The sequence below is a fragment of the Homo sapiens genome, chromosome 11 (assembly GCF_000001405.40).
Source record: "Homo sapiens chromosome 11, GRCh38.p14 Primary Assembly".
NCBI classification, from domain to species: Eukaryota; Metazoa; Chordata; class Mammalia; order Primates; family Hominidae; genus Homo; species Homo sapiens.
The window spans coordinates 95951596-95964944 of NC_000011.10; the positions used below are offsets into that span (position 1 = coordinate 95951596).

Genomic DNA, 13349 nt, shown 5'->3' on the forward strand with positions numbered 1-13349 from the left:
AATGAATTATAGCCATTCAAATAATAATCAGAAAAACGGTATAGAATCATGGAGGAATGTTTACAGTGTTTTAAGTGAAAGAATATAAATAGCACTTACCCCATTATTACAATTACAGAATATATATAGTCACATTGATTAGAGCTAGATGAGGAAATATTAGAAGGCAAAATGAACAGAATAGAGAGCCATCCAAGAAAAGTTTTATGTATATATGGGGATCAATTATATGCTTTAAGTCACTTCAAATCAGTGGGGAAAGGATGAACTTATCAAAAAATGATGTTGGCTGCCTGTTGCACTCAATGTTAAAAAGACAGATGATAGATTTTTAATTTTTTTTTTTCTTGAGACAAGAGTCTTGCCCTGTCATCGTGGCTGGAGTGCAGTGGCACGAAGTCTGCTCATTGCAACCTTCGCCTCCCAAGCTCAAGCAATCCTCACACTTCAGCCTCCCAAGTAGCTGGGACTACAGGCATGTGCCACCAGGCCTGGCTAATTTTTGTATTTTTAGTAGAGACGGGGTTTCACCCCAGGCTGCTCTAAAACTCATGGGCTCAAGAAATTGGCCTGCCTCGGCCTCCCAAAGTGCTGGGATTACAGGCATAAGCCAACATGCCCGGCCCAGATAGATATATATATTTTTTAAATCAATCAAAACTATCTTTTTATAGATAGTTTGAGATACAAATCTAACTGTATTTACTACAATGAATAGAAAAGTAGAAGTAGAAGTATAAAATGCAAAAGACTATTTTTATAATTTTTGGATAAGAAATACCTTAAGCAAATCAGAAAACTAGAAACCAAAAAGGAAAAGACTACCAGATTTGACTATATTAATATGTGAAACTTGTTTCTGGTAAGTGATAACATAAACAAAAATAAAAGAAAGGTGACAAACAGGAAGAAAATATTTATTACATATAAAATAACAAGGGAAAAATGACCATACTATACAAAGAGTATCTACAAATCATAGGAAAAGCAACATCTCAGCAGAGGACATAAGAAGATAATTCATGGAAAAAATGTGATTATCTAATAGTATGCAAATTAAAATATAGTACACCTTGCTGCTAATAACGAAGATAATTAAAATAGAAATGACATCATTTTTACTCATAGGACAGAGAAAAAGGACTTACTGACAGTAAGTAGTGTTTGCAAGCATTCCAAGAAAGACACTCATATACTGTTGGAGGATGTCTAATTTGGCACAGGCAGTATCTATACAAATTTCTAATATGCTTTTTGATCCCAACATTGCACTTACAGGATTCTACCTTGGTAAAATATTCTAACTTGTGCATAAAGATGGGTGTTCGGCTGGGTGTGATGGCTCAGGCCTGTAATCCCAGCACTTTGGGAGGCCGAGGAGGGTGGATCACTTGAGGTCAGGAGTTCGAGAACAGCTTGGCCAACATGGCAAAACCCCGTCTCTACTAAAAATACAAAAATTAGCTGGGCGTGGTGGCACACACCTGTAATCCCAGCTACTAGGGAGGCTGAGGCAGGGGAATCACTTGAACCCTGGGGGTGGAGGTTGCAGTGAGCCGAGATTGTGCCACTGCACTCCAGCCTGGAGAGCGAGACCCTGTCTCAAAAAAAAAAAAAAAGGGTGTTTATTATAGACATACACACACAAACACAAAGGAAATAGCTTAACTGTCCATTTAAAAATAATCGACTGCACAGCTATTCAAGATCTCCAAGACATGTTGTTCGCAAAAACAAAAAAGTTGTCCAATAAAATATTTGATTAATATATATTTAGAAAAAATTGCAGGCCTTAAATCCATGTATATAAATACATATTAAAAGATCTTCAGGAACAAGTATCAAACTAGTAATCATGTTTACCTCTTAGGAAAATTAGTTTAATTGAAAAAGGTGAGTATCAAATGGAATTTTAGCATTCTACTTTATATATATTGGTACATATAAACTTTTACTATCAAGCACATATTTATGTATGTTGAAAAGCAATGAAACTAAAAATGAAAGTAAAGAAGCAAATGTATTACAAAGGTACCTATAAATTATCTTTAATAGCAATCATTAGGTAAAAGCATTATTATAAGCAATTTTCAAGCTCTTTTATAAACACTGTATTATCACACTTTATCTTCACAACAATTCTATGAGGTACAGAAGTAGGTATATATTATTATTATTATTTTGTACTTGAAGATACATTCTTAGAGAAGCTAAGTAATTTGCCATACTTTGTATTATTGCATTTACTGAAAATGCAGCCTCTTTCTTTCTCATGAGAGAGAGGCAGATGTAATGAGTTTGTCTTATAAGTGTGGTATATGAAAGTTCAAAAACACACACAGATAGGCATGTGGCTATAGCCTTTTTTGCAGAGTTTGCAGTTATAACAATCTACAGACTGAGAATTATGAAGAAAATCAAGATAATTAGAACCATTTTAAGGTTATGATATAATCAAATAAAATATGAATGTACTTTACAAACAGTAAAATGCTATGCAAATAGAAGTTATTACAGTGGTCTCTGTTGAGCAGCAGATGGCTTAGCAGAACTAGAAACCCTGAGTAGAATTCTGGCTCTAATACTTCCCAAGCATGTTTCTGTAAAATGCAGTTAATATTCTTTACTTCCCATCCCATATTCCTACATTATGTGCATATAACTACACATACATACATATAGGAATATGAGAAATAAGTGAGATGATACATATAAAGGCATCTAGTATAGTGCCTGGCAAGTTATACATGCTCTGTGGATACTAGTTCTATATGAAATTCATTTTTAAAAAAGAGACATATAGCATAGGTCAGACCAAAGCAAAGCGGAGGATTGAGCATAGCTAAAATTTTGGTGGTAATTGAAGACCCCAGTGCCTCTAGTTTTTTTCTGGTGACCTTGGAGATATGTTAAAAAATATCAACAGACTGAGCTATCTGAAGTAATTTTTAGAGAAAAGCTGTCTTTGTGTTTGAGTATATTAATCTAATCATTTCAGACAATGATCTCTATTATTGTGATTTAATCTAGCAACTGTCACTTTTGCATTGAGTAAATTAATTTGTCTCCGTTTGATCACGGCTCTTAAACTACACAGCTGTGGACATGTTGCCTTCCTTCTTTGATTCATTAAAATTACTTTCACATTCTTGGTATTTTCATGACTGCTTGATATATTGCTTCAAGCATTGGTAAGTAGAGAAAGGATTTCTGGTGGTTTGGGAAGGATGAATTTGTCCTGCAAGATATTACATCTTGATGTATTGCTATTGAATCACCTGGAAAGTACTGAATGAACTGTTGAGCTTTGGTACCTATTTTCAGTGTCTAATGTTGGGTATCTAATGTACATCACACTTATGTGGTATACATAAATATAAACATAAATATAATATATAATATAGAAACATGTTGTATATAAGATAAATATATGCATAAATATAAACATAAAGTTGCTTATACTTTCAAGGTTATCTACTGCATTTCTACTGCAACTTATAACAACAAAAGGGTATATAAGAGATAACCACCTCTCCTTGACCTTAATTGAATTTGTGTTTTGAGTTGAAAACTAATCTAAAACCCACATTTTCACTTAGGGTTACAATCTCTTTGAAATATTCAGACTTGAAGATAAAATCGAGTCATCTTCAAAATGACTTGAAAATTTTTTTGCTTCTTTCTCCCTTGCCACAGCCAGATGAATTTGACATATCTTTGCTAACAACTTTTCCATCCTAATATTAATGCTCTCACACCTCCTTTAAATCTTTGCTCAAATGTGTCTTTTTTTCAGGCCTAACTTGAATATCCTATTTTAAAATTTATATACATCCCTGAACTCATTTCCTTTATCCTTCTCTAATTGTTTCTTTCTTATATCACTTATTAACTGTTTCTTGTCATATAATGCACATATCTGTTGTTTATTATCGGTGGCTCTTAGCTAGTATGTAAACTCCATAAAGGAATCTTGGTTGACTTTGCCCACCGATATGTCTCAAGCATCCATAAGAGGGCTTGGCACAAAGTAGACATTTAATAAATATATATTTGAATGAATGAATGAATATGTTTCATAGGTGCCTCCTTAGGGAAAAAAAAACTTTTTTTTTCAGACAGGGTCTCACTCTGTCACCCAGGCTGGAGTGCAATGGTGTGATCATGGCTCACTGCAGCCTCAACCTCCCAGCCCAAGTAATCCTCACATCTCAGCCTCTCGAGTAGCTGGGACCACAGGCATGCACCACCATGCCTGGCTAATTTCTTTTTATTTTTTGTAGAGACGGGGTCTCAGTACTTCACCCAGACTGGTCTTGAACTCCTGGGCTCAAGCAAGCCTCCTGCCTCAGCCTCCCAAAGTGCTGGGATTACAGACATGAGAAACACTGGCCTCAAGAAAATTCTTGATCTGATTTGACAATGCTCATAAGAACACCATTTAATCACAAGGGAAAATGGTATTCATGGAGACTGTTTTGGATGAGTGATTGACTTTCTGAAGAATATGTTCTCTTCGTAAAATATGTGACTAGGTTTAGTTCTAAAATGTATATTCATCTCTTTGGAATGCTTTCATATTATTTGTGATTTAGAATACCCTACTAGTTCAAAATATAACATCTGTGTGGTTATATGCAAAGATGAAAAACTAGAAACTTTTTTTTTGTATTACCCAAATAGAGATCTTTGATCTCTGTGTTTAAATTTCAAAGCTTGAACTCTAGAATCACAGTGCTATATTCTTAGATGCTATTCCTATACTCCAAAGGTCTTAAGGCAAATGAAATACTGGTTTTTTAAAATAAGAGTGAAGTTAGAGGAAATCTCAGAAAACGGTGTCATGCTTAGCAGTAATTTGATGGCAGAGAAGAAACATCAACAAAATCCTTCTTTTTTATCTCTCACATTTTAGGGCTACAGTTTCAAAATATATAGACTTCACATATGTTCCTAGGCCTGCAACATTTACATAAGGTAAACTTGAATAGGAAAATTGAGGGGAAAAAAGAGAGAAGGGGTTGATTGTGAAGTGTTGCTCTTCGGAGTTGTACATGGCCCAATTTTTTTAATTAAACCCTTGAAACATAGCTTAAGATGTAATCAGTCAATTCTTTACTGAATGCAGATTCATTAGGAATAGCCAAACAAGTCTAAACTAATGCAATTCACTTAGAAAACAAAAAGCCCAAACTAAACAAGATAACCTAATTAAAGATTTTTGACTTAATAACTCATGTTTGTTCTAGAATAAAAGAATTTACTGGATAGTTACCTTCTTCATCTACATTGTATTTTGGCAAATATTTATTGAAACTCTCTTTTCCACACAGGTTTTAAGGTGGCTCGTAACAAAAGCTACATGAAATTAAAAGAATAAAAGACCCAGAGAAAAGGTTAGACCAATATGCCAATGTTAACAGAATCTTAAGATTTGGCCCTGAGCTTTCTGGCAGCCATATATAAAATTAAACACACCATCAGTTATATCGTTCTCATTATCAGGAAGGAAGAATCACATGAGTCTTTCAGAAGAAACAAAAGCTCTTTATAGCATTGAATTACACACAAAATTTCTCACTGAAATTTTATATGAAAGATACAGAGTAATATGTAAAATTCCTCCGTAATTTACATGACTGTTTCTTGTGATAATTAAAAAAATAAAAACAGAGGACACCATCAGAAATAAGTACATGATCCTTTGGGAGCGCTGGATAGGAATAATTAGCTCAACTTAGGGGTATAAGGTAGGCTTCCTGGAGGAGTTGATACATGAACTTAAAATGCATAAATTATCCAGGTGAAGAAAGAATGGCAGGCCGGGCGCGGTGGCTCACGCCTGTAATCCCAGCACTTTGGGAGGCCGAGGCGGGCGGATCACGAGGTCAGGAGATCGAGACCATCCCGGCTAAAACGGTGAAACCCCGTCTCTACTAAAAATACAAAAAATTAGCCGGGCGTAGTGGCGGGCGCCTGTAGTCCCAGCTACTTGGGAGGCTGAGGCAGGAGAATGGCGTGAACCCGGGAGGCGGAGCTTGCAGTGAGCCGAGATCCCGCCACTGCACTCCAGCCTGGGCGACAGAGCGAGACTCCGTCTCAAAAAAAAAAAAAAAAAAAAAAAAAAAAAAAAAAGAATGGCAGGGAAGGGCATTGCAAGCACAGTAAACAGTACACCAATTCTTTGCTCTTCTAGTACTCTGATGTTCAAATAGTTATGACATATTTAATTAGAATTTGGTTTCTTGTTTATATGAATAATTCAGTAAAAGATGCAGTCACTACCATTCTAAAAACCTTAATTAAGTAATTCCTTCTTAACCTAAATTTGGCTTGGTTCTCATGAGAAAAGATGGAAATTGGTGAAAACGACTTGTAGGTCGTATAGTTTAACCTATATAATGTGCTCGCAGCTGTCCCTCACACCGTTGCAACATTCCTAACATATAAAAAGCCTCTAAGATGGGATTAGGAAGGCATGAAGTCCTCATCAAAAGAACACAAATTAGGTCCTTCATTAGGGGTTAGAACTTCAGGTGCAAGGAATGTGAGGATTATAAATGGGACCAGATTGGAGCCGTCACAATCTTTTGATCTTCCATCCCACAACTCTAGAAGAATAACCAGTAAGGGAAATTTTCTAGGTCACTCATTCCTATCTTTGGTAGCCAACTATAACCAAGATGACTTCTAGAATAAATAAAGCATGCATGAATGGCTTAGAATGGCTCCATTTTGAGCCTGTGAAGAAGAGCAAAAGATGTAGATAAGGCTGACATATTTTCAAGCCTGATTCAATAGAGTAGATGATAATATGGGAATTTCATATAGCTGGTGCTCCAGCTGTAGATAAAGATATTCTATTTTCCTAAATTGTCATCTCTGGATGCCTTGATAAACTAGTATAATTGCTGTGGAAGGCAGGACAAAACTTAGAAATTGGGGGTAATGAACATATGAGGACTAATATTTGTATATGTGGATGATCCTCTTTTAATACTGGTTTGAACCAAGGTGAATCAAATAGATACTTGGAAACAGATTGTTAAGAGGATTTTAAAAGTCTAGTTTTGAACACATCATGTCTTCTTAATTTAAACAGAAGGCTTAAAACCATCAAGTTTACTTGCTGAAATTAATCCTGAGGTGTTAACTAGCTATATGATCCTGAGAAATTTATTTAATTTCTTTTTGCTTCAATTTTTACTTCTGTACACAAGTGATAATAATATCTATCACATAGTTTTTAAAAAATATGAAATGAGTTAGGACATGCTAAATGCTTCTAATAGTGTTCATCATACAGAAAAAAACTTTAAGTGTTAATTCTTATTGAAGTTGTGGTTGTTATTATGTAGAGAGACCCCTGAACATAGACCTTCTCACTTCACTTCTTCACAAGAATAAATATCTATTGAATGGATGAATGAATGTTTACTTATTTTCACCTTACCATAAAAAATAGCACTTTTTTTCTCTGCTGAAATGGATTTTCTATAGGTAAATATAATTATCCAGTTTGTAGATTCAAGGAATTTAACACTAAAAGGAATAGGGTGGAAACTGGAGTCTTTTAAGGAAAGATGGAAGGGCCACACAGAGCCAGCTAGAGACAAAATCCATCCAATAGCTTTCATTACTTAGGATGTGGACAGGTATCCTCACAGTTTCCTCTGTTATTATTAGTTGCTTGACATTTAATACATTTCTAGAGCAGAAAGAAGAAATAAATATGATGCACTCATCAATAAAGAGATGATGCAAACTACAATAATTTTAAAAAGCATTTATCAAACAATGTAAAGGAAAAGTGTGAGAGGCTAAGGAACATAAAACTAGGTGATAAAATGAGATATAGAAATAAAATGGAATTAACAAAGAAAGATTAAAAATCAATGATATACAGAAGTATCCTCCTTATCTGTGGTTTTGCTTTCCAGTTTCAGTCACCCGCGGTCAACCTCAGTCCAAAAATATTAAATGGAAAATTCCAAGGATAAACAACTCATAACTTCTAAATTGTGTGCTCTTCTGAGTAGTGCCCAGGATGCGAATAATCCCTTTGTTCAGAGTATCCATGTTGTCTCTGCTACTTGCCTGTTAGTAACTCAGTAGCCGTCTTGGTTTATCAGATCACCTGTCACAGTATCTCAGTGCTTGGGTTCAGTAATCCTTGTTTTACTTAATAGTGGCTACACAGTACAAGAGTAGTGATGCTGGTGATTTGGATATGTCAAAGAGAAGCTATAAAGTGCTTCCTTTAAATGAAAAGGTGAACGTTTTTGACTTAATAAGGAAAGAAAAAAGTTGTATGCAGAGGTGGCTAAGATTTATGGTAAGAATAAATCTTCTCTCTGTGAAATTGTCAAGAAAGAAAAAGGAAGCTGTGCATAGTATATCTAGAGTTTGGTTCTATCTACAGTTTCAGGCAACCACTGGGGGTCTTGGAATGTATCTCATGTGGATAATGGGGGACTACTCTATAAAAAAATAATTACAACCAGAGAACTAAAAGTTGAAATAGTGAAAATAATAAAATAAGATAAAAATGATATGAATGTATAACCAATGCATGATATTAGGAATAGTTAGTAAAGAAATGAAAAAAATCAGCTGGGTGAGGTGACGAACCTGTATTCCCAGCTACTCGGGAGGTTGAGGTGGGAGTATCGCTTGAACCCAGGGGTTAGAGACCAGCCTGAGCTACATAGAAAGATTCTGTCTAAAAAAAAATTTAAAAAGTAAAAATCCATATAGGTTAAAAGGGGGAAATAGTTTAAAAGGGTAATCAGAGGTTTCAAATAAAAGTAGAATACAATGTCCAGAAAATGTCACCTACTTTTGTCCTCTGAAGTTCTCTCAAAGACTCCTTAGCTACATTCCCTTAGAACACAGACCAGTATTCCTTTACCCTGTTTTATGCCTTAAGCCTTGAATGCAGTCTTTAAACTACAGCTATCAATTCATGCAGATCCAAATTCTTTCCTCGAACACAGCAAAAAGTCAGGTGTTTCCCCACTCTGGCCTCTTGTTTTAAAACTTTAGTTTCTTGATATCATTATTACTGGAAAAGTATCCCATGTCATGTGAAGAAGTGCTCCTCAAACTTTAGTCTCTGTATCCCCTTAGTCAGGCAAAGCAAACAAAAGTAATCTCTGGAAAGAGTGGTGTTGAGCTTGAAGATAAATCAGTAAAATGTCGGTTTTTTAATTATTATGTACAAAGTATTTTTTTTATTGCAAATACAAATATATCAGTGTTTGCATTTTATAGAAATTCATATTCTTTAAAGGTCGCCAGAATACACTCTTAGGATAAATTACACAGAACAGCATTTGGCTAACTATACCATAGGATATCAATTAGGGTTATGTGGAAAACACCAAATAAACTTAGAAAATTCCAGTTTCTAAATAAGTTAAACGGTTTTGTTTGCTAGAGAAAACTTCCAAAACACCAATATCTTTTATACTTCTCTAAGAATGGGCTCTAGTACCTTCTATACTAACTTGAAAATGGAATCCCTTTGAGTGTATGTTGCAAAGCCCAGAACTAATATTTCATGAAATATACTTTGAGAAACAGTTTCTAGAGAAAGAACTATACAGAGAGGTAGAAAAATCTAACTCTCTAATCAAGTCTCTACAATGTCTGAATCCAATTGTGTTACTGAAGGAATAATAGGAAGAATTCAAAAAGCCTGACATTATATTGAAATGGGAAGGGAACCATCATATCTGGAAAAGTGATAGAGCCAACTGAACTTTCTTTTTAAAATCTGGACTCTCTGAATGGAGCACTACATGTTTTTAACTTCAAAAACTTAAAGTAGTTTGAACATGCTTCTTTGAGGTGAAATATGCCTTAATATGTTTTGAATCTAAAATAAAAGAAAATAAATATACATATGCAATGTCTTATTTATTGAATAACTTACTTCCAGGGTCAGTTAAATTTGGAGATCCAAATCTTTATCCATTTCTTTTTGAGATTTTCAGTTTTTCTCTATGTCACATGAAGTGCTCGTGTCATTGCACAAGTGCAAATAACTTCTTGAGGAAAGAAAAACTGCTATGAGACATGCCAATATTTTATGCCCCAACTGAGACATCTGTGCACACAATTGACATTCAGAACTCCCTGGTATACATTATTTCATAAGCCTTTGCATATTTTGCTTTCAAGCCCTATTATTATTGATTTAAAAGAAGTGAAACTTTTTTTTTTTACAAATATTATCCACTACCTTTGAAATGCTAAAGTGAGAATCTTTGAAATGAGTTTGGAAAAAATCTTGAATAATCCACATCATCATAGACATGTAACACTCAAATGAATTCACACAGTCACTGCCCTTTAACAGCTGTGTTTTTTCTATCACATTTAATTTTAATATTTGCAACTATACTTTAGTGTAGTTATAGTGCCCTCTCTATGAATATACTTTCTGGATTAGAGAAAGGACGCAGAATATTTTTCCATAACAAAGTCATTTGGGTTGAATTGTCAAAATCTAATCCTCATAACACCACTCTCTTTTGATTTTGTAAAGTGAAAAAAGACATCTACTTTAACACACTCAGAGCAGGATTAAGACATCTTTCAAACCTTCTGATCACTCCAAAGATTAACAAAAATGCCTTGCTAACTTTAACCAAAAGACCAGATGTAGAATAATCTTCTATTTTTCCAGCAAGTATTGAAAGGCAGGATTATACAAATGGAGACACACAAATATAAATGGGGGTGCTCTCTCTCTGTATCTCTCTCACTATTCATATATACTTTTTCTTTAGTGCTTTGAAAACTGACATGTTGCTTTTAGGTTAGTATATGAATCAGTAATGAGTAAAAACTACTTTGAAGATTACTTAATGTTATACTCATTCATATTGGAGATAATTTTCCTTAATATTTGTTGCATGTTTTTCAAGAATAAGTGTTAAAAATCAGTTTTAATTTTTAAACATACATAACCTCTGTGCCATTCTGTCTTCACTTCCCATTAGTTTCCAAACAAAGCCCTACACAATCTTTAGTTGATTTCCTTACTGTTTAGTAGAGTAGATGTCCTCTTATGTGATGTGAATAGAAGTGGTAGTTGGTTAGTTAACTTAAAAAAGAAAAATAAAATTGGGTTAAACAGAATTATGTATGTATGTTAAACAGAATTATCTATGTATACATTATATACATACATATATAAATTATATTTTTAAACTTAAAACATAATTTTAAAATTTATTTTTAATGTAAAGTTTATAATGTGCCAGCATTCACAAATCTTTTTGATGTTAGGGCCAAGGCCTTTCTTTTTGATATGGTTTTATTCTCTGAAGTCTTTCTTGCATGAATCACATACATAATGCATTTTCTGATTTCAATTTCTGGTTTCATTAAAATGGAATGGAAACTTAAAGACACAAGGCAATTTGAGTGCAAAATCCTCATACTTAACGATCAATTAGTTGATCAACTGCAATGCTCCTTCCGTTTTTCACATTCTTAATTTGACAGCATTTAAAAATTTTTTATTGTAAAAGATATTAAATACACAACATATAAATAAAGTCTCTTCTGTGATGCTGCCTATGAAGGTGGCAGCCATCTCCTATTCACCATCATAGCCACACTCAGACCCCTTGTGGAGCCCAAGATTGTCATAAAGAGGATCAAGAAGTTCATCATCGGGACAGATCGATATGTCAAAATTAAGTGTAACTGGTGGAAACCCAGAGGTATTAACAACAGGGTATGCAGAGGATTCAAGGGCCAGACTTGATGTCCAACACTGGTTATAGGAGCAACAAGAAGACAAAGCACATGCTGCCCATGGCTTCTGGAAGTTCCTAGTATCCAGTGTCAAGGAGCTGGATGTGCTGCTGATGTGCAACAAATCTTACTGGGCTGAGAATGCTCACAATGTTTTCTCAAAGAAGAACCACACAGCCATCATGGAAAGAGCAGCCTAGCTCATCATCAGAGTCACCAATCCTAATGCCAGGCTGCACAGCAAAGAAAATGAATAGACAGGTTGTGTGCACGTTTTACTTGTGTTTAAAGAAAACCATAAAAACTGCCAAGAAAGGTATGAATAAATTAAGGAATAAGATAACAAATAATGGCATACACAACAACCAGGTTAAGAAACAGAACACTACCAGTACCTTAAAAGCTCTCTTTGTTCCCTAGACGCAACCATTAGGCTGGCTTTTATGAGAATTAGTCTCTTGCTTTTCTTTGCGGTTTTGCCAATCTGTATTATAAACCAAGAAGTATCTGAGACAGGTCTCAATCAATTTAGAGTTTTATTTTGCCAAGGTTAAGGACTATGACCTGTGACACAACCTCAAGAGGTCCTTCCTGACAATATGTGCCAAAGGTGGCTGGGTTGCAGCTTGGTTTTATACATTTTAGGGATACAGAAGTTACAGGCAAAGACATAAATCAATGCATGGAAAGTATACTTGGCTCAGCCTGGAAAAGTGGGATATCTTGAAGCAGTGGGGGAGTTGGGTGGCGGGGGGATTTCCAAGTCATTGGTGCATTCAAAGATTTCCTAATTAGCAATTGGTCGAAAGAGTTTAGCTCTGCCTAAAGAGTTGAAGTCAGCATAAAGAAATATTGAGTTAAGATAAAAGGAGAGGTTGTGGAAGCCAAGGTTCTTATCATGTAGATAGAGCCTTGAGGTAGCAGGCTTCAGAGAAAATGTCTCTTATCAGGCCTTAAATGGTGTCAGACTCTGCATAAAAGACATAGTAAGGGAAGGAGATTCTCTATAGAATGCACATTTCCCCCACAAGAGACAGCTTTGCAGGGCTATTTCAATATATGTCAAAGAAGTATATTTGGCAGTAAAGTGACTTCCCTCAAGGCCTGCTATTTGTCATGTGATGCTATACCAGAGTCAGGTTGGAATCTGGTATCTTATTGCTATCAAGAGCCTGCTTCGTCAGTCTCAAGATCTCTGTTTTAATGTTAATGCTGGTTAGATGTTTCTAAACTCCAAAGGGAGGAGTATACAGTGAGACATGTCTGACTCCTTCCCATTATGGCCTGAACTTGTTTGTCAGGTTTCTTTGGGATCCCGTTGGCCAAAAAGGGGTCCATTCAGTCGATTGGGGAGCTTCGAATTTTATTTTTGGTTTGCAGTATGTATTCTTAAATAACATCTTGTTTAGTTTGGCCTTTTAAAATATTTTTTAAAAATAGAATCAAGGTGTAGGGTTTTTTGTGTGTGACTTGCTTCTTTCATTCAACATTATGTTGATGTATTTAGCTCATTCCCTTTTCTTGTAGCATTACATTCCATTTTATGACAATACCTCAATTTACCTCTTCTAACATTG

General features: G+C 35.0%; 1 pseudogene; it reads left to right on the plus strand.

Annotated features, from left to right (window-relative positions):
- Window positions 11620–12082, plus strand: RPL32P25 (ribosomal protein L32 pseudogene 25; annotated as a pseudogene).